Raw genomic sequence first — 22,244 nt, 5'->3', positions numbered from 1 at the left:
GAGCTGAGATAGCACCATTGCACTCCAGCCTGGGTGATAAGAGTGAAACTCCATCTCAGGGGGAAAAAAAAAAAGAAAGAAAAAACTGAAACAGCACACTGTAATCAAATTCGTTAATATTCCTCCAGCAATATGAATATTTACTTTACATAAAAAGACTATAAATAGCCTTTTATTAGTTGAAGTCAGATTTGTGCATATCTTTTCAAAAATCTTTCAGTTTTCAGAGCTTTTGGAGGTTTTTAGAACCGAAGGGACTGTAGACCTAGGCAAGTATTTACCGTCAGAAAATCAGTTTGCTAATTCACAACAAAACAATTTTCTGACACTCCATGACTAAAGTTTTCAAGCAGTCTTTGGTCTGACCTTCCTTACCATAAGTCTTTTCAAACTAAACAATGTCTACTGGTAACAACTGTGTTCACATAAAAGTATTAATGATCTGTCATATGTGATTTTTCCTTATGTAAACTAACCCATTGCCTTGACGCCAACAAATTACATGACTGGCACCAAATCATCTCAATCTTTAATCTACATTTTCCAGCTTTCTAATATGGTGTAGTTTTTAGTCCCTTCACTCTGAACCCTTCTTATGGACAGAACCACATCTGAAATCTACACCAGTTCCTTAGTATAGTAACCATGCCACTTACAATTTAAGGTACTATACTTTCACTAAGCATTCCACAGGCTAACTCTGAATTCTTCCTAAATTCTTGGGTAGATAAATTTGAGCTCATCAAGTTTACTGATTTAATCAAGAAAAGCCTAGGCAGCCAGAAAAAAAAAACGTATAGGAAATATTAAATAAATGTTAACATTTCTGGGATAATTCCTGGGACTTCTAGATATTTTTCTGTACTTTCTAGAGGATTTATTCACGTTCCAATCAGAAAAAAACTTTTAAAAAAAGTTAAGCATCTATCATCATTTGTACTAGAAACTTTAATCTGGTTGGAAAGAAATAGTGGAAATTCTCTAATGTTTTCATTCTTAAATGGATCTTTCACACCATGATTAAGTAGTCTTACCAATTCTCTAGCTGACCTTTTCATTATAACATATCTTTTTTAAAAACAAAAACAAGGCTGGGCACGGTGGCTGACACCTGTTATCCCAGCCTTGGGAGGCCAAGGCAGGCGGATCACAAAGTCAGGAGTTCGAGACCAGCCTGATCAACATGGTGAAACCCCATCTCTGCTAAAAATATAAAAATTAGCCAGGTGTGGTGGCGTGTGACTATAATCCCAGCTACTCAGGAGGCTGAGGCAGGAGAATCACTTGAACCCAGGAGGTGGAGGTTGAAGTGAGCCGAGATCGTGCCACTGTACTCCAGCCTAGGCGACAGAGCAAGACTTCATCTCAAAAACAAACAAATAAACAAAAAACACAAAATCTCTTACCTAATCATTTCTACAAAGAGGCTTATTGAATTCATCTTTTATTCACCTAATTTCTAGGTTGTTCCTAATCAGTCTGTGGGCTTCTCTGGCCTTGACTGAAAACGTTTCCAATATTTTAGAAATGCCTTCTTCTTAGAAAGATGCCTTTCTTCACGGTGGCTCATGCCTGTAATCCCAGCACTTTGGGAGGCCGAGGCAGGCGGATCACCTGAGGTCGGGAGTTCGAGACCAGCCTGACCAACATGAAGAAACCCCGCCTCTACTAAAAATACAGAATTAGCTAGGCGTGGTGTCACATGCCTGTAATCCTAGCTACTAGGGAGGCTGAGGCAGAAGAATCGCTTGAACCTGGGAGGCAGAGGTTGCGGTGAGCCGAGATCGCGCCATTGCACTCCAGCCTGGGCAACAAGAGTGAAACTCCGTCTCAAAAAAAAAAAAAAAAAAGAAAAAAGAAAGATGCCTTTCTTCTCTCCACAGCCTCTAAGCCTATGCCAAATAACCAACTGTTTTGTATGGTCCTTTTGATCTCTTGCATTCTTTTAACATGTATTTCAAATATGATGATTTTTAAGTCTTTAAATTTCCAGTAGGTTTCTCTTTAAAATCTTCCTCTCCACTCACCCTAATATATACATGATCACAGCTCAATTTCCTAAAAATGAATCCTCGCATGACAGATTTTGTTCTCCTTTCTGAAGAATGCTGAACTTAATCACGGTATAATTATTATGAAATAATGCCTGACCTACAGAAACCTGAATCAATTCTTATTTGTTCCTCCGGGTAAAATTCAGGTTATTTATTTGCTTTGTATGTTCTAAAACTGCCAATTGTCGGGAGTAGCTTATCTTAGTCAAAACCACATTTGCTCTCAATGAAGAATTTAATCAATCTATGTATAAATAAACCTTCTATTACTATCTGACCTAATTTTGCAGCTTCTCCAATTCCTTTAACATTTCAAGTTCAGTCCCATTATTCTGATTAGGACTGACATTTTTATTTAAGCAAGGATTTAAACCTTTCAAACTTCCATGCTACTTCCCTGGTTATAGGGAAAAAATTAACATTACTATTGCTTGTTATTCCTTATAATAATCACTTGCTGCCTCTATCATTCCTATGAGGTATATAGCCCAGAGCAGTACTACACCTGAACAGTTAGTCTCCTTCCATCAAGCATATGAGATGAGAATTAAATTATTGGTAACACTTTTTTTGTTTTTTTTTTTGAGATGGAGTCTCACTCTTGTTGTGCAGGCTGGAGTGCAGTGGTGGAATCTCGGCTCACTGCAACTTCCGCCTCCTGGGTTCAACCTATTCTCCCGCCTTAGCCTCCCAAGTAGCTGAGATTACAGGCACCCGCCACTACGCCCAGCTAATTTTTGTATTTTAGTAGACGGGGTTTCACCATGTTGGTCAGGCTGGTCTCGAACTCCTGACCTCAGGTGATCCACCTGCCTCAGCCTCCCAAAGTGCTGGGATTACAGGCGTGAGCCACTGCGCCCAGCACACCTTTTTTTTGGAGATGGAGTCTTGCTCTGTTGCCCAGGCTGGAGTGCAGTGGCACGATATCGGCTCACTGCAACCTCTGCCTCCCAGGTTCAAGCGATTCTCCTGCCTCAGACCCCCTGAGGAGCTGGGATTACAGGCACCTGCCACCATGCCAGGCTAATTTTTTGTATTTTTAGTAGAGACGGGGTTTTGCCACGTTCGCCAGGCTGGTTTCGAGCTTCTGACTTCAGGGTGATCTGCCCACCTCAAGCCTCCCAAAGTGTTAGGATTAAAGGCGTGAGCCACTGCTCCTGGCCAATAACACTTTCATTTTTAATTTTTTTTAAATTTGAGACAGAGTCTCAGTCTGTCGCCCAGGCTGGAGTACAGTGGTGCAATCTTGGCTCACTACAACCTCTGCCTCCCGGGTTCAAGCCATTCTCCTGCCTCAGCCTCCTGAGTAGCTGGGATTACAGGTGTGCACCACCATGCCCAGCTAATGTTTGTATTTTTAGTAGAGACGGGGTTTCACCACATTGGCTAGGCTAGTCTCGAACTCCTGACCTCAAGTGATCCGCCCACCTCGGCTTCCCAAAGCGCTGGGATTACAGGCGTGAACCACCACACCCAGCCCTGGTAACTTTTAAATAAATCAAATGCTTAAGATCACACAGGTACGGGCCAGGCGCGGTGGCTCATGCCTGTAATCCCAGCACTTTGGGAGGTCGAGATGGGCGGATCACAAGGTCAGGAGATAGAGACCATCCTGGCTAACACAGTGAAACCCCATCTCCACTAAAAATACAAAAAATTAGCCAGGCGTGGTGGTGGGCACCTGTAGTCTCAGCTACTTGGCAGGCTGAGGCAGGAGAATGGTGTGAATCCGGGAGGCAGAGCTTGCAGTGAGCCGAGATTGCGCCACTGCACTCCAGCCTGGGCAACAGGGCGAGACTCTGTCTCAAAAAAAAAAAAAAAAAAAAAAAAATCACACAGGTACAATATATAGGTTTTGTTATTGGCAGAAAATGTCATTTCACCATTATGTCACCTACCCAAATGTGACCTTGTTATAACTGAATTTCTTTCTTATGGAAAGGCTCCATAAGAAAAATAATATTGCCAGATACTTCCTTGAACTTCCCACTGTGTCAGATAGTGTTACGAAACTCATCTGAAATCCACATTGCCTAGATTTCTAGCTCTGCAACTGGAAGGGCCTACTAACACAAACCACAGAAACATTATTAAGTAAACAGCAGCAAACAAGCTATGTTCAAGTTCTCTTACTAATAAAAGCAATACAGTTTGGTCAGTTAAACTGATATCCTTTCAACCACTAAAGAAAACAACAACATACACTTGGATTAACAGCTGCTGGCTTTAAAATTCACAATATCAGTAATATGTTATGTACTACTTAAGCATAGGTAGGGAGAATGTATGACTTCAAGTTTGATATACAGCAAACCCTCCCAGAGAAAGGTAATATAAAATCTGCCCAGAAGACCACCCAATATTAGAACTCTGTCTGCTTAAAAGTAATAGATTTTTCCTTAGTATGGATCTGAGTTCACCACAAAATTCATTTATTCTGGCCATGTGGTGGCTCATACTTGTAATCCCAGTGCTTTGGGAGTCTGGGAAGTGGGGGATCACTTGAGGTCAGGAGTTTGAGTCCAGCCTGGCCAACATGGTGAAACCCTGTCTCTACTAAAAACTAAAAATACAAAAATTAGCCGGGCTTGGTGGCAGGCACCTGTAATCCCAGCTACTTGGAAGGCTGAGGCAGGAGACTCACTTGAACCCAGGAGGCAGAGGTTGCAGTGAGCCGAGATCGCAACAATGCACCACAGCCTGGGCAACAGAGTGAGACTCCGTCTCAAAAAAAAAAAGTTCATTTATTCTGCCAGGTGCAGTGCCATGTGCCTGTAGTCCCAGCTACCTGGGAGGCTGAGGTAGGAAGACAGCTCAAGCCTATGAGTTTGAGGCCATGGCACACTTATGATCACACCTGTGAATAGCCACTGTCCTCCAACCTGGGCAACACAGCAAGACCCCACCTCTTTAAACAGACACACACACACACACACACACACACACACACACACACACACCTTTATTCTAAAATTAAATATGAAAAAGACCACATTTTTACAAAATGGCAAATAGGTCTTCTTGTGTACTGAAACTACACAAGCTGGTGGTATAAATAACCAAAAACAGAGTAAATGGGTCCCAATATATCCTCAGCTACATCAAATGGCATATAGTGTAACAGGCTGAGAGCTTGATGTCCACAAGCTGAATCCAATATAACATGTGGACAGAAATAAGATATGCAGCCAGGCACAGTGGCTCATGCCTATAATCCCAGCACTTTGGGAGGCTGAGGTGGGTGGATCACCTGATGTCAGGAGTTCCAAGACCAGCCTGGCCAACATGGTAAAACCCCGTTTCTACCAAAACCATAACAATTAGCTGGGCGCGGTGGCGCATGCCTGTAATCCCAGCCAGTCGGGAGGCTGAGGTGGGAGACTTGCTTGAACCTGGGAGTTAGATGTTGCAGTGAGCTGAGATCGCGCCACTGCACTCCAGCCTGGGTGACAGAGCGAGACTCTGTTTCAAAAAAAAGAAAAAAAAAAAAAAGGAAATAAGACATTCCATTCCATTGCTTGCATATTAGGTATACATTTTAGCTTCTAGCCAATTACCTAAATAGCTGTCTGGCCTAAGGGACTTCTGTTTCCTATCAGCTTCATGAAAGGAGAAAAGGGAAAGGGTAACAAGAAAAATAATGAAGTAGAAGAGTTAGAAAAGGGTAAGTAAAGCAGGCCAGGCGTGGTGGCTCACGCCTGTAATCTCAGCACTTTGGGAGGCTGAGGCCGGCGGATCACGAGGTCAGGAGATCGAGACCATCCTGGCTAACACGGTGAAACCCCATCTCTACTAAAAATACAAAAAATTAGCTGGGTGTGGGGGCAGGCGCCTGTAGTCCCAGCTACTTGGAAGGCTGAGGCAGGAGAATGGCCTGAACCGGGGAGGCAGAGCTTGCAGTGAGCCAAGATCACGCCACTGCACTCCAGCCTAGGCAACAAAGCAAGACACCGTCTCAAAAAAAAAAAAAAAAAAAAAAGAAAGAGAAGAGTAAGCAAGGGAATAAACAAATAAATTTACAATGTGCAATTCAAACAAGAGAGCATCTAGACATAAGAAAACTTCATCTTTAGGCTGCTGAAATTAGGTACTGAGACTTCCAAAACACAGCTAATGTGTTGAGAGGAAGTCAAAGCACCAAAAACCTGAAAATTCACGCTTTAGGCCAGGCGCATAGCACACACTCTTTGAAAGCTTATTTTTAAAGAGCTACCTGAAATAAAGTTGCTGAGGCCTCACTAAGAAGAGAGAAGGTTATGATACTGGGCTTCTCCCTTTGAGGAAGGAAAAAAGTCAGAGGCCTACCTCACCCATCACTCCAGGCAACCAAGGCTCAGTCAGCAGAAGGGTAAATCCCACCCCTCAGGGAACTGGGTTAGAAGGTCTCTAGTTCCACCCCTGCTGTCTTCCAGACAAGACTGACTGCAATTTTCACCCCAGTTAACTTCCAGTGATGCCAGCAAGAGGAGCAGACAGGAGAAAAGAACATAAGGAGTAGCTATTTCTCCTCAGTGTCAGCTGGACTCTGGAACAACTGTAGACATTGCCTTTCTCTCTGCTGGGCAGAAGAGAATCCACTAATCTCAGGGAAGTGCCTAACAACCCAGTAACACAACATTTCTCAAAGATCTCTACTTTAACCATCTTATTTAGGGTTGCAACCCCTCCCACCTCTCCTACCTAACCCTCTTTTCCACTCCCAATTCTCCTTATCCTGCTGTACTTTTCCCCATATCATATATTACCTTTCTAATTTTATATATTATTATGTTTATTTCTATCTCCTATTCAAAGATAATATCCATGAGGTTGATTTTTTTTTTTTGGTCTATTTTGTTCATTGATCTTAAACAACTAGAACAGGGCATCCAATAAATATTTATGGAATGAAGTGAGAAAGAAAAACTAAAAAGACCTCCCAGAAGTCAACCACACCCAGATGGCCCAACAATGCCTATATTGCCCTAGCAGAACCAATTTGGTTCCTGTGACTAAATTTATCTCACCTCCACCTGCCATGCATCACCACTAGACCCTTGCTGCAAGTTTTCTATCAGCTCGGATGTATGGAACCACAGTACAGTCATATGCAGTAAAGGCAACAAATGCTTGTCCTTGAATCTGAACAATTTCTCAAGGCATTCACCGTCTGCCTTTTCCCTAGTTTATTCAATTTGGGATAAAATGTGTTGAATGGAAGTTACGTTACTTTTGCATAAAAAGAAGTCTAAAAAAATCACAATTTCTTTTTTCAAGAATCAAGTTCTAATTCAATTCATCAAGCATTAATTAAGCATAAAGTTATATTCAAAGAAGCACTGGGCTAAGAGTTTACGGAACAGAGGAGACACAGGTATCTCACGAGCTTAAAATGAGGGATGAAGAAAATATATTCACAAATAATTACAGTTAAAGACAACATGCGGGCTGGGCGCGGTGGCTCATGCCTGTAATCCAAGCACTTTCGGAGGCCAAGGCAGGTGGATCACGAGGTCAGGAGTTCGAGACCAGCCTGGCCAAGATGGTGAAACTCAACCCCGTCTCTACTAAAATACAAAAATTAGCCAGGCGCGGTGGCGGGCAACTGTAATCCCAGTTACTCGGGAGGCTGAGGCAGGAGAATCGCTTGAACCTGGGAGGTGGAGGTTGCAGTGAGCCAAGATCGCTGCACTCTAGCCTGGGTGACAGAGTAAGACTCCGTCTCAAAAAAAAAAAAAAAAAAAGACAACATGTGATAAAGTACTACAACAGAGATCCCAGCAAAAAGTTAGAGATAAAGAGGAGGATGAAATCAATTCTGGAGATAGGTGGATAGGAAGAAGTGGGATAAGAAAGGCTTCAGGAAGGAAATTTTTTTGCTAAGTTGAAGGAATGGTTAGATTTGGGAGTTAACTGTCCTGGGAGCAAGGTAGTGCATTCCAACAGAACAGAAGAGAAAAAAAAACCCTAAGAAATGGAGACTGAAAAATGCAGGGTAACTTAGAGGAATAGCTGTAAAAAAAAAAAAAAAAAAAAAAAGGATAAACTGGGTATGCTAGCACAGGCCTGTAATCTCAGCTATTTGGGAGGCTGAGGTAGGAGGTCACTTGAGCCCAGGAGTTTGAGGCCAGCCAGGGAAACATAGCAAGAGCCCGTATCTTAAAAACAAACAACAAAAAAGATATGGATAAAATGAAAAATATGAAATAAGGTTGAGGAAGGCCAGGTTTGGTCAAATCATAAAGAACCTTGAATATTGACCTATGTAGGCAATGGGAACCATCGAAGATTTTATAGAAAGAAGCAAAATGATCAAAATTGTAATTTTAAAGGTCTACGCTGGCTTTATTTGCACACACTCTTCTAGAACAAAATTCTTATCTTTCAGAGCACTTTAGTTCATAATCATAAATTCATTAATTGTCTCTCCCACTAGACTACAAGTCCAAACAGGACAAGACTATGTGTGGCCTGGCATATAAGTGCCCAGTAAATATTACCTAAATGAGTAAATAAAAATTATAATACAGCAGTTGTATGTAGTATGCAATACAAAAAAAGGCAATAACCATGAGGTTATTGCAATAATATATAGAAGATGAAGACCTGAACTAGGTCAGATTAAAAAGTGAGGCCAGGCTCACACCTGTAATCCCAGCACTTTGGGAGGCTGAGGCAGGCGGATCACCTGAGGTCGGGAGTTCGAGACCAGCATGAACAACATGGAGAAACCCCGTCGCTACTAAAAATACAAAATTAGCCAGGCATGGTGGCGTACGCCTGTAATCCCAGCTACTCGGGAGGCTGAGGCAGGAGAATTGCTTGAACCTGGGAGGCAGAGGTTGCAGTGAGCCGAGATTGTGCCATTGCACTCCAGCCTGGGCAACAAGAGCAAAACTCAGTCTCAAAAAAAAAAAAAAGTGAGGCTAGGCCAGGTGTGGTGGCTCACGCCTGTAATCCCAGCACTTTGGGAGGCCGAGGCGGGAGGATCACCTGAGGTCAGGAGTTCGAGACCAGCCTGGCCAAGATGGTGAAACCCCGTCTCTACTAAAAATATAAAAATTGGCCAGGCACGGTAGCTCACGCCTGTAATCTCCGCACTTTGGGAGGCCGAGGCAGGTGGATCACAAGGTCAGGAGTTCAAGACCAGCCTGGCCAAGATGGTGAAACCCCATCTCTACTAAAAATACAAAAATTAGCCGAGTGCAATGACAGGCGCCTGTAATCACAGCTACTCGGGAGGCTGAGGCAGGAGAATTGCTTGAACCTGGGCGGCAGAGGTTGCAGTGAGCCGAGATCACGCCACTGCACTGAGACGGGGTGTGGGCGACAGACTGAGACTCCATCTCAAAAAAATACAAAAATTAGCTGGGCGTAGTGAAATGCACCTGTAATCGCAGCTCTTTGGGAGGCTGAGACAGGAGAATCGCTTGAACCCAGGAGGTGGAGGTTGCAGTAAGCCGATATCGCACCACTGCACTCCAGTCTGGGTGACAGAGCAAGACTCTGTCTCAAAAAAAAAGAAAAAGGCTAACTAGTGAGGCTAAATGTCAGGCTATCCAATTAGTGAATGCTTAGATACGTAATTTGGTGAATGATTCAGATGAGGTGGTGAGGACGAAAAAAAGAACCAAATATGAGGCCAGGCGCGGTGGCTCATGCCTGTAATCCCAGCACTTTGGGAGGCCGAGGTAGGCAGATCACGAGGTCAGCAGTTCGAGACCAGCCTGGCCAACATGGTGAAATCCTGTCTCTACTAAAAATACAAAAATTAGCCAAGCATGGTGGTGGGCATCTGTAATCCCAGCTACTTGGGAGGCTGAGGCAGGAGAATCGCTTGAACCCAGGAGGCAGAGGTTGCAGTGAGCCGAGACCACACCACTGGACTCCAGCCTGGGCGACAGAGCAAGACTCTGTCTCCAAAAAAAAAAAAAAAAAAAAAAAAGAACCAAATATGAGTCAAAAGTTTTAAGCCAAAGCAACTGGAAGAACAGCAATGCTTCAAGGAGAAAAGCATAGGCGGGTTTCAAATTATGAACGGGAAGTACATCTGAAAGCATATGCCAAGTAGAAACAAATTTCTTCCCTTCCTTACCCTTCAGATATATATGTCATAAGCTTTACAATTCCATGTCTTTTCTTATAGTTTCATTTTTGATACCATTCTTTAGAACTCTGCTCTAGAAGCATCTGTTCCAAAACAGATAAATGCTGAGCTTTACACCGAATTTCAGAATTTGTAGCTGAAATTTACAAGGTATATTCTTGGTCTTTATTTTTTTTATTATTTTTGAGACAGGGTCTCACTGCTGCCCAGGCTGGAGTAAAGTGGCATGATCACAGTTCACGGCAGCCTCAACCTCCCAAGCTCAAGTGATCCACTTCCCATGTAGCTGGAACTACAGGAGTGTGCCACCATGGCAGGTTTTCAAATTTTTTGTAGAGATGGGGTCTATGTTGTCCAGGTTGGCCTTGAACTCCTGGGCTCACGTGATCCTCCAGCCTCGGCCTCCCAAAGTGTTGGGATTACAAGGAAGAGCCACCGCACCCGTCTTATATTCATGAACATTCACTTCTATTCATATGAATGAAAATTCATCTCAACCAGACACAAAGTGCCCACCTAGGAATGTTGCTAGGTATGCTGCTGATAATATCCCAAGACCACACTAGCTGTACTTTGTACACAGGATAGAGCAGACACTGCTGTCTTTCTCCACAAATACTGAACTACAGTCTAAGAAACTATAGGTACCAGCATGAAATGTGGTACCAGCATGCAATATGGACTAACTGCCTCATCTGGATTTCATGCTGTGGTATGATAGCCAAAGGTTTCGTGGTACCCACTTTGGCTACTTTGCAATCCAACCCCCATGCTGCACTTCACACTTTTTTTAAACCATCTATAAAAACTACTTATAGGCCGGGTGTGGTGGCTCACGGCTGTAATCCCAGCACTTTGGGAGGCCGAGGCGGGTGGATCACCTGAGGTTGGGAGTTTGAGACCAAGCCTGACCAACATGGGGAAACCCCATCTCTACTAAAAAATACAAAAATTAGCTGGGCGTGGTGGCAGACACCTATAATACCAGCTACTCGGGAGGCTGAGGCAGGAGAATCACTTGAACCCAGGAGGCTGAGGATGCAGTTAGCTGAGATTGTGCCATTGCACTCCTGCCTGGGTGACAGAGCAAGACTCCATCTCAAACAAACAAAACAAAAACAAAAACAAAGAAAAAGCTACTTATATTGGCCGGGTATGGTGGCTCATGCCTGTAATCCCAGCACTTTGGGAGGCCGAGGTTGGCGGATCACCTAAGTTTGGGAGTTCGAGACCAGCCAGACCAACATGGAGAAACCCCATCTCCACTAAAAATAAAAAATTAGCCAGGCGTGGTGCCGCATGCCTGTAATGCCACCTACTCAGGAGGCTGAGGCAGGAGAATCGCCTGAAACCGGGAGGCGGAAGTTGCGGTGAGCCAAGACTGTGCCACTGCACTCCAGCCTGGGCAACAAAGAGAAACTCCATCTTGGGGGGACAAAAAAAACAAAAAACAAACTACTTATATTTCTAATATAAATCATTCTAAAATCTCACATTCAAGTGGAACACTTCCCCAAATAACCTTTAGATGAACTAAAAATTAGTAATGTGCTATAGATGGCTGGGAATAAAGCAAGGCACTCTCAGGACTTTTTAATGATCCAAAACAAACAAGTTTTGCCTACCAAATTTTTCTACTCCAGACCAATAGAATTTTTTTTTTTTTTTAAAGACACAATTTTGCTCTGTCACCCAGGCTAGAGTACAGGGGGGCAATCTCAGCTCACTGCAACCTCTGCCTCCCAGGTTCAAATGATTCTAATGCCTCAGCCTCCTGAGTAGCTGGGATTACAGGCATATGCCACCACGCCTAACTTATTTTTTTGTATTTTTAGTAGAGACGGGCTTTCACCATGTTCACCAGGCTGGTCTCTTCCTGGCCTCAACTGATCCGCCAGCCTTGGCCTCTCAAAGTGCGGGAATTACAGGTGTGAGCCACCGTGCCTGGACCAACAGATGTTTTAAGTACAAATCTGAAAACAGTGAACATTATTTCCAATGTTCAAAGGTAGATTAAACCTATGATTTTGCTATGTTAACAACAACAGAAGACTAAAAGACCAGCATCCTCTTACTATTCAATAAGTATTAATAGCTGCTACTCGAAGTCCCAGATCAAATAATTAACTGAAAAATGCTGATAAAAATCCTAATATGGGGAATTAACAACTTGGCTGTGTAATTTTATTTCCTTAAAACTGCTTGAAAGAGGCCGGGTGCAGTGGCTCACGCCTGTAATCCCAACACTTTGGGAGGCCAAGGCGGGTGGATCATGAGGTCAGGAGTTCGAGACCAGCCTGAACAACATGGTGAAACCCCATCTCTACTAAAAATACAAAAATTAGCCAGGCATGGTGGCACACGCCTGTAATCCCAGCTACTCAGGAGGCTGAGGCAGGAGAATCGCCTGAACTCTGGAGGTGGAGGTTGCAGTGAACCAAGATCACGCCAACGCACTCCAGCCTGGGCAACAGAGCGACTTCATCTCAAAAAGAAAAAAAAAACTGCTTGAAAGCAAATACTTCCTAACATTACTCTCAATCTGAAAGTTCCTGAAACACTTACCAACCAGCTTTTCATTTCTCGTCTCTTTTAGGAGGGTATTTCAGAGATACCCCCTTGTTCGTCATACTTCGGCAAATGTCATCAACGTGCATTTTCAGCATTAAAAATAACGTAATTGGCTGGGTGCAGTGGCTCAAACCTGTAATCCCACCACTTTGGGAGGCTGAAGCAGGAGGATGGCTTGAGCCTAGGAGCTCAAGACTAGCCTGAGCAACATGGCAAACCATCATCTCTACAAAAAAAATTACAAAAATTAACCAAGCATGGTGGCACACTTTTGTAGTCCCAGCTACTTGGAAGGCTGAGGTGAACCCACTAGGTCAAGGCTGGGTAAGACCCTGTCAAAAATAAATAAATAACAACATAATTTTATTTTCCGAACAAAACACTGTGGGCAACTCAACTTGTACTCAGTCCCAAGAAGTTAATTCAAAGTGGAATTTCTACTGACTAGTCAAAAGTGGAAAAATATCCAACTAACCTCCATAATCAGTCCAATTTAGCTCCCAGATTTCAGATATAATAGATTATTAGATCCTTGACTGAATTTACAAAGTTACTTCTTATTGATAGATGGCAAATCCTTCCAGGTACAACTTCCTTCTCACAAGCTAAGGTTCCTTTTCTGCAGCTTTCTCAACTCCTGACCTCAAGCTGATCCACCCGCCTCGGCCTCCCAAAGTGCTAGGATTACAGGCGTGAGCCACCAAGCCAGGCCAGCCTTTTTTGCAGCTTTCTGATTTCCACTCCTATGTTTTAAGCACACTAGAAAAAGATATATGCGGCAAGTTGGTGAGCCTGCAGAATGAGGCTACAAAACCCTCCAAAAAAAGATGGCCTAATAAAAGTACAGCCTTCCAAACAAATCAAAGAGTATGAGAGTCAAGCCCCAGGGAACTGAAATTGCACTCATTAGCCCTTCTGAATACCGGCTATATTTTTGACCAGCAATAAAAAAAAAAAAGATGCTCACTTATGTTAAATATTTTTGTCCTGTTCTTCCACCATAATCTTTTTTTTTTTTTTTTTTTTTTTTTGGAAATAGGGTCTTGCTCTGTGCGAGTGAAGGCTGAATTGCAGTGGTGAGATCACAGCTCACTGCAGCCTCGACCTCCTGGGCTCAAGCGATCCTCCCATCTCTGCTTCCTGAAGAGCTGGGACCACAGTGCACACCACCTGGCTAATTATTTACGTATTTATTGAAATGGAATTTATCTCTTGTTGCCCAGGCTGGAGTGCAATGGCTTGATCTCGGCTCACTGCAACTTCTACCTCCCAAGTTTAAGCGATTCTCCTGCCTCAGCCTCCCAAGTAGCTGGGATTACAGGCATGTGCCACCACACACGGCTAATTTTGTACTTTTAGTAGAGACAAGGTTTCACCATGTTGGCCAGGCTGAATTGTGTTGTTTTTTTTTTTTTTTTTTTTAAGATATGAGGCCTCTCTGTTGCCCAGGCTGGTCTCCAACTCCTGGGCTCAAGTGATCCTCCTGCCTCAGCCTCCCAAAGTGCTAGGACTACAAGTGTCAACCTGACTCTCAATCTTGGTATCATGATATTCTACAGCTAAATGGAACCGCAGTGATCATCCTGTCTAATGTGTTCATTTCACAGATGAGGCACATGAAAACAGGGGCATGACTTGCACAAGGACAAACAGCTAATTAGAGGCACAGTAATGATCAGAATCTGGGTTTTATGACTCTCAATTCTATGATTTTTTCCCCTCTATTCTTTGAAAAGCTATACTAGCCAGGCATTGTGGCTCATGTCTGTAGTCCCAGCACTTTGGGAAACCATGGAAGGAGGACTGCTTGAGTCCAGGAATTTGAGACCAGCCTGGGCAACCAGACTGGAGTGCAGTGGCACACAACATAGTGAGACTCCATCTCTACAAAAACAATTTAAAAATTGGGCTGGTCACAGTGGCTCATGCCTATAATCCCAGCACTTTGGGAGGCCAAGGTGGGAGGATGGCTTGAGCCCAGGAGTTCAAGACAAGCCTGGGCAATGCAGCGAAACAAAAAAAAACACACAAAAAAATTAGCCAGGTGTGGTGGCATTGAGGCTGGAATGAGCTGTGATTGCACCATTGCACTCCAGCCTAGGCAACAGAGTGAGACCCTGTCTTAAGGAAGGAGAAGCAGAAGGAGGAGGAGAGAGGAGAAAATGAAGGAAGGAAGGAAGGAAAAGAAAAGAAAAGAAAGGAAAGGAAAGGAAAGGAGGAAGGAAGGAAGGAAAGAGAGGAAGGAGAGGAAGGGGAGGGAGGGAGGAAAAAAAAATTAGCTGGGTGTGGTGGCGCCTGCCTGTACTTCCAACTGCTTGGGAGGCTGAGGTAGGAGAATTGCTTGAGCTCAGGAGGTTGAGCCTGCAGTGAGCTGTGATCGTGATTGTGTCACTATGCTCCAGCCTGGTGACAGAGCAAGGCCCTGCCTCAAAAAAGAAAAAAAAAAAAAGCATACTAGTAAAGAAAACATAACACTCTTAGACAATATCTTAACTGTAACAAAGACACAGAAAAATAAAATTTCATCCACATAAAGAGAAGTGTTAGAACAGAAGAAGCAACATTTGTTCATATAGTACAGGGGTTACTTAAGGCACATATTTTCTTTTTTCTTTTTGACAGAGCCTTGCTCTGTTGCCAGACTGGAATGCAGTGGCACGATCTCCACTCACTGCAACCTCCATCTCTCAGATTCAAGCAATCATCCTTCCTCAGCCTCCCGAGTAGCTGGGACTACAGACGTGCGCCACCATGCCCAGCTAATTTTTGTATTTTTAGTAGAGACAGGATTTCACCATGTTGGCCAGGATGGTCTCGATCTCTTGACCTCATGATCCGCCCGTCTCGGCCTCCCAAAGTGCTTAGATTAGAGGCGTAAGCCACCGCACCGGGCTAAGGCACATGTTTTCTAAAGTATTTTATTAATTACCACCTGCTAGAATTTATGTCCTGTGTTTTCATCAAATGTACCTCCTTAAAAGCAGGCCACAGTGACACTTGTGGCAAAGGTCAGAAAAGTGATACTTCTGGCATAGATAACTGATGGTACAAAAGGAATCCACAAAGGTGATGCCCACAATCAAGAAGAAAGGACTGAAGAAGGGGTAGAGATATTGCTGGGAGGAAGTATTCCTGAAAAATGGAATTAAAAAAGAAAAAAACCCCAAAGAAGTTGGCCAGACACTAATGACCAGAGAACACAATAAAAAGAAGGCAGTTTCAGAGCTTGTCTGGCATCAGACAGCTCTCACCTGCAAAAGAAAGAAGGAAAAATTTCTCACAGAGACAAGAGAAAAATCCTAGGTTTGCCCCTGAGTGATGGACTAGATATGACCTGACAGGTATTTGCCATCTCTTATTTCTGGGACTCTGATCCAAGAACAAACAGCAAGAGAACCATGAAAAATTAGCCCTGTTGGATCTGGAGTTCTGCCTTGACAAGATATAAAGCTCATTCATAGATCTGACTGTGCTCATGAGACTGCAGTTCAACTCCTGCTGCTAGAGCAAGGGGAGGGGGGAAGAAAGAAAGGGGTGAGAGAGAAGGAGGTGGAGGATCTGGGTTGTGACTATAATAGCTACAGTAATTAGAGTGTTTCCAAGCTGCTAGAGAAGTCTTCAGGGTAGGGAAGTGGGATAAGAGATGGGGGTGGGGGAAAGGTAAAAGGAAGCAAACTACTGAGAGTGCTAGGAAAGCATAAGTGGTTTGTGAACAGTTTTAATAAAACAAACATAAAAAACTGCCATAGCTTCGTATGAGGAAATCAAGAACTTGACATTCTTTCCTAGAAGTGAATACTAAACAATTAACTGCTGTCGCTAGACTTCCACTTAAAGCTAGCTTAGCTTTAGGTAGATCACTGCAAATGTCCCCATCTATGCAGTGCTCCATAGGCCCTGACCTGAGTCATAGTCTGGCCTCACTTTCCCTCAAAGAGCCTTCACTCCACTTGGGCTGTGGGAAAGAGATTTCTGAACTTTAAAACAGTTCATATGGCTCATTTCTCTTCAATCATCCGTTAATTAGTACCCTGTGAATTCCATTAGGTCGTGTGTGTATGTGTTTCAAGAGAAGGGGCACACAACCTGTTGGCCTAATATAGAAAATGAATGGAAGGCACTAAAAAGGTCAGAAAATAAACACAAAGTTACTTGCTTACAAGTTTTAGGCTCTATGGCATTCCTATTATAGTGGCACAAACATATGAAAGAGAAAATCATATTAACAGAAGATGATAATCTATTAAAAAATCTGAATTTTCAGAAAACCTCAAATAGTCTTTTCCCAAGTTATAGGAAATGCTATACCCCCCGCTAACTTTTTTTTTTTTTTTTTTTTTTTGAGACAGGGTTTCATTCTTGTTGACCAGGCTGGAGTGCGATGGCGCAATCTCAGCTCACTGCAACCTCCACCTCCCGGGTTCAAGCGATTCTCCTGCCTCAGCCTCCCGAGTAGCTGGAATTACAGGAGTGCACCACCAAGCCTGGCTAATTTTTGTATTATTAGTAGAGATGGAGTTTCACCATGTCAGCCAGGCTGGTCTCAAACTCCTGACCTCAGGTGATCTGCCCGCCTCAGCCTCCCAAAGTGCTGGGATTACAGGCATGAGCCACTGCGCCCGGCCTATATCCGTTTTTAAGATAAATATTTAGTGGTGATGTTCCTTAACATCATTTCTTCTGGTGATGACTTGGTTCTAACAAGTGATGTTAATGTCAATGTCAGGGAAAAGAGTTACAAAGGTGCTGGGAGAAACTAAAAATTGAAAAAAACAACTGGCAGGGCATGATGGCTCACACCTGTAATCCCAGCACTTTGGGAGGCCGAGGTGGGTGGATCACCTGAGGTCAGGAGCTCTACAGCAGCCTGGCCAACATAATGAAACCCCATCTCTACTAAAAATACTAAAATTAGCTGGGCATGGTGGTGGGCGCCTGTAGACCCAGCCATTCAGGAGGCTGACGCAAGCAATTGCTTGAACCTGGGAGGCAGAGGTTGCAGTGAGCCGAGATCGCACCATTACACTCCAGCCTGGGCCACAGGAGCGAAACTCCGTCTCAAAAAAGAAAAACAAACAAACAAACAAATAAACAACCGAAGAGATGCAAACTTCATGTGGGGAAATATATTCATAATATAAAAACATAATATAAAAACACATGCAAAATCACTTGAGTAAGGCATGTCAGGTAGACTTCCACAAAAAGTCAATTACATCATTTGCATAAAACCTATTAGGTATCCACCCAGTAGGCTAAATCTTTTTCACCATACTGAAAGCAAGAAATTTTCTCCTTCCCATTTCCCTTTAATAAACAAGTACTAGAAACACTGAATTACCACTATTTCCCTCCCATGCACAAAGCATAAAGCCAGAACTCCCATAAATACAATAGAGCCGTGTAGGGCCATGTCTAGGGCATGCTACTGAGTGATCTAAAAAACCACAGTTACAGAAGAATCTCTTTCTCTATTCTATTACCATCTTACTAACAAATCAACAAGCATTAAGAAATGTGAAACAAAGTGCAATTTCACACATACAAACTGAATCTAACCCACGGAAGACCAAGTATTTTCTTGTCACTGTGGCATGTGATTCTTCAACCACCTGCTCAGTAATCCCTCTTCAGCTACACAGCTGCTGCCAATTCCACATGCCCAGCTAGGCAGGTGCTTTGGTGAATTACCTGTTCCCTAGCGAAAAGAGTCCTTCACTGACACTTAGTGGACCCAGAACCTGCCAATCAACATCACCTATCTTCATTTTGTCTGTCACAGACAACTTTTATAACAGAGGTATCATGAAGGCATATTTAATACATTACGATATTTTGCATTTTGTGGGGTTTTTGTTTGTTTTCTTTAAAGGAAACTGATTTTGAAAAATCAAGTAGAAGAGAGAATTAAGAGACTGAAAAGAAAACTTCCCACACAATATAAGGCTGCCTCATCTCAGGCTAATCCCATCTGCCTGGCAGTATTCCCATCCATGACCAGTTTTCCATGAGGGAAATAACAATTGCTTAGCTACCTTCAGAGTAGGAGAAAAGGGCAGTACAAGTACTAAGGTACCTGGAAAAGAAGTAACTACAAAGAGGAAGCAGAGTGGGAACTTCTGGAGAACACATATCATTGCTATACTTAGCCTCCATGGCTAAGCTCAGGCAATAGTGTTCTGAGTCAAATAAATAAAATAAATAAGGAGTGGCACTTCCACTTGACAGAGCAATCAGTAAACCCCTCAACAAATTATCGTGTTCCAGTCATTTAGTTGCTATATGCTAATTGCAACATAATTGCTACCAGGAGCCAAAATTATGCCTCCATATCCTCACAAAATAAGCACTAATCTGTCCAACTTTCTAGACTTCTATCACAAGGAAATTTTTTTCTACCAAGAAGCTGGGACGGGTAGTTGGGGGGGAATCCAAAGCACTCTTTGAATGATGGTCACAATCAGAAGACTCACATGAGATTCCTTGTGGCAAGGGCCCAACTCTGAAGCCACTAAATCTAATCAGGACAAATTTAATCTGAGGCTTCTGCCTTCACTGTCACCTGACAGCATTCAGAAATAAATGCCAAGAGCCCAAGAGCAAAAAGCTTTGGACTCAGTTTAGCTGAGGCTTCACTCAAATATTCCTAGGACACAGAGTTGGAAATAGTCTAAAGACAGACAACACCTCCAGTAAGGCCTGAAGACAGTTCTGTTATCAAAAAATATATAAAGGTCAGAACAACCTGTTCCCTCCTATCAAAGGCCCAACACCTCAGTGGCAGGCCATCATTTAAAGAAACTCACTGAAATAAAAGGATAAGGGAGGCACCATAGACAGACTAATTGCCTCAGAAAGACCTTTACCAAAACCAAAGGCTAAAGTTCTTATTCAACACTATCCTATGGGAAATGATTGGCTATTGTGTACACAGCACATTATATACAATTCCCCACTCACAATGAGTTTTACTTCTAATCTCTTTTTAAAGAAAAGTTGTATTTAATGTCCTAAATGGAAACCTCTTTTCCAGGCCCCAAATTTTTTTTTTTTTTTTTTAAAGACAAGGTCCTGCTCTATCACCCAGGCTGGAGTACAGCGGTGCAATCACAGCTCACTGCAGCCTCAACCTCCTGGGCTCAACGAGATCTTTCTACCTCAGCCTCCCAAGAAGCTGGGACCACAGGCGTATGCCACTACACCCAGCTAACATTTTTTATATTTTTTGTTGAGATGGGGTTTTGCCATGTTGCCCAAGCTGGTCTCGAACTCCTGAACTCAAGCGATCTTCCCACCTCAGCCTCCTGAGTAGCTGGGACCACTGGCATGTGCCACTATGCCCAGCTAGCTGTATTTTTTTAAATTTTTGTAGAGATGAGTTCTCACTATGTTGCCCAGGCCACTCTCAAACTCCTAGGCTCAAGTGATCCTCCTGCCTCAGCCTCCCAAAGTGCTGGGATTACAGGTGTGAGCACCATGCCTGGTCCCAAATAATTTTTTACACAACTAATAGTACATAAATATTATTTGAGCACTTCTATCAGATATGTACAATAGGATTCCTTCTAGTTTGTTCTCATCCTTCTCTCACTAATAATCCCTAAGACCCATACATTTTTTCAAAAATGTTTATTTCTTTGGCAAATTTCTTAATACAGAGGCAGATATAGACTTTTGCACAATGAGCAACTCATGTCCTTTCATTAGAGTTAAAATAAATATTGAAAGGTTTGTTCCCACAGCCCTTGCCCAGATAGGCAAATTCTGTGGCTTTTTTGTTGTGCTATTATTATTGACCAGGAAGCCACCATTAAAAAGGTACTTGGTTCTTGACTTTTTTATTTTTTATTTTTAAAGAAACAGGGTCTTGCTTTGTTGCCCAGGCTGGTCTTAAACTCCTGGGCTCCAGCCATCCTCTGGCTTCATTCTCCCAAAGTGCCAAGATTACAAGCATGAGCCACCACACCTGGGCTTGACTCCCCATCTTAACACTGCACAGGTTTTTAGTGGTATTCGGAAACAAACAAAAATCACTGCATGAGTGTTCCATTCATATAAAAGAATTAAATATGATGATTCAACTAAGAGTAGAACCTTCCCTTGAAGTCTTCTTCCTTAAGGGTCTGAAACAAACATCGTAGTTGAGTCTACCAGACACTATTCCTTCACAACTTAGTACAGGCTAGCCAAAGAGGCAGGCACAACATGGCTGGCATCCCTTATTCTTCTGAAAAATGTGTGCCAATGAGCTCTGCATTGTTCCTCACTCAAAAAGAAGAGCCTTTCTCTCTGGCCTCCTCCAATGGCAAGCCCCAGTCTGGAAAAGGAAGAAAATGGCACTGAGGAGCCTGGGAGATGGAGCATATCCAAAGCTCTCAGACAAGACTTGAACCTATGACCTTCACTGTGTACACAATAGGCGGGTGAGAGGGACCGGTTTATCTCTGCTGCAGCAGTTCTCAGCCCTGGGGTAGCGCTCCCGATAAAATGACACGACTATTGTGTGTGGCAGCAGAACAGTCATCTCCTCACAACAGCCTAAACCAGCACTCCCTCCCCCAAGACAAAGCAGCAGGGGTGAAATTAACTCAAGGCTGCAGAGCAAAGCCTAATACAGAAAAGGGAGGCCTGTAGGGGCTTGGGGACTCTCCTCAACCCCTTAGGCTCTGGACACATGGCTGGAAACAGACAGGCTTTCTTCCCTATCTTTCTCACTCTCATTTAGGTAGGGAGCTGTTTCTTAGAGAATTTAATCATCCGTGATTTGTTCAGAAATATTCCCCCTGAAGGGCTCTGATCTCTCCACCCTGTGTGAGCCTAATTCCTCGAAGCTGAAATGACTGTTTGCTGCTGCCTGTTTCACAAACACACATTAATTGGTCAGATGTGTCTCCTCCTCCTCAACCCCAGAGGGAGGAAGGAGAATCTGAGCAAAGCACAGAGATGATCCAACCGTAATTACACATAAAGGGAAAAGAGGGCAGCATGGGTTTTCCAAACAGGATAGGGTCACAAACCCTCCCGGGGGTACAAGGATAGCAGTTGAGGTCCAGGCCCAGGGATCCCTCCATCTTGAAGAAAAGGACAGGAGTAAATGTGACCTGAAGACTGTTAGGGGCACACACCCACAACCTACTTACTGCAGGATCCCAGCCACCTTGCTCCCCACTCCTAGGTCACGCACACGTCCTGCTTCCGACCCTATGCTCTGAACAACCACCACCGCCCCCGCCCCCCCTCCCCCGCCAACTCCCTGACTGGCCCCAGTCGCCCCGAGCGCCCTCAACATACCCAGACTCGCCTCAGAAACTCTCTGGCCTGCTCCCATAACCTAGCCAGACCCTAATCCCCTCCCGGGCACCCCTACCCTCAGCCTGAACCGGCCGTGGCCACGCTTTGAACTTCACCCCGCGCCCCTCGACGCCCCCTCCCCCACCCACGCAACGACCCCCCCTACACACCTTCCCCTCGCTCCGCCCCAGCCCCCCCAACCCCCACTTCCTCCGTCAGGCAGCGCCGCCGCCCCCGGCCCC

The 22,244-nt window shown here is 43.8% G+C and overlaps 1 protein-coding gene across 5 annotated transcripts in view, besides 1 other annotated feature; it reads right to left on the bottom strand.

Moving 5' to 3' along the window:
• ZNF609 (zinc finger protein 609) overlaps positions 1-22,244 on the bottom strand; it is a 226,491-nt gene that overhangs the window by 202,899 nt on the left and 1,348 nt on the right. The window contains exon 1 of one of the 5 annotated variants that reach the window (XM_047432266.1): positions 22,003-22,146. The exons of the other annotated variants lie outside the window; for them this stretch is intronic. The gene's annotated coding sequence lies outside the window, so the exon portion shown is untranslated. Of the gene's footprint in view, positions 1-22,002; positions 22,147-22,244 lie in introns of those variants that run through there. 5 annotated transcript variants of the gene reach the window in all.
• Positions 18,293-18,342: an enhancer, noted in NCBI's record as "active region_9569". NCBI's record gives its function as "activates an Ori minimal core promoter by ATAC-STARR-seq in GM12878 lymphoblastoid cells {active_cell/tissue: GM12878}" and the evidence as "EXISTENCE:reporter gene assay evidence [ECO:0000049][PMID:35858748]".

Source organism: Homo sapiens, chromosome 15, assembly GCF_000001405.40.
Source record: "Homo sapiens chromosome 15, GRCh38.p14 Primary Assembly".
In the NCBI taxonomy this organism is placed as follows: Eukaryota; Metazoa; Chordata; class Mammalia; order Primates; family Hominidae; genus Homo; species Homo sapiens.
Note: the sequence above shows the minus strand (reverse complement) of the source record. Positions and strands in the feature narration are given on the sequence as shown.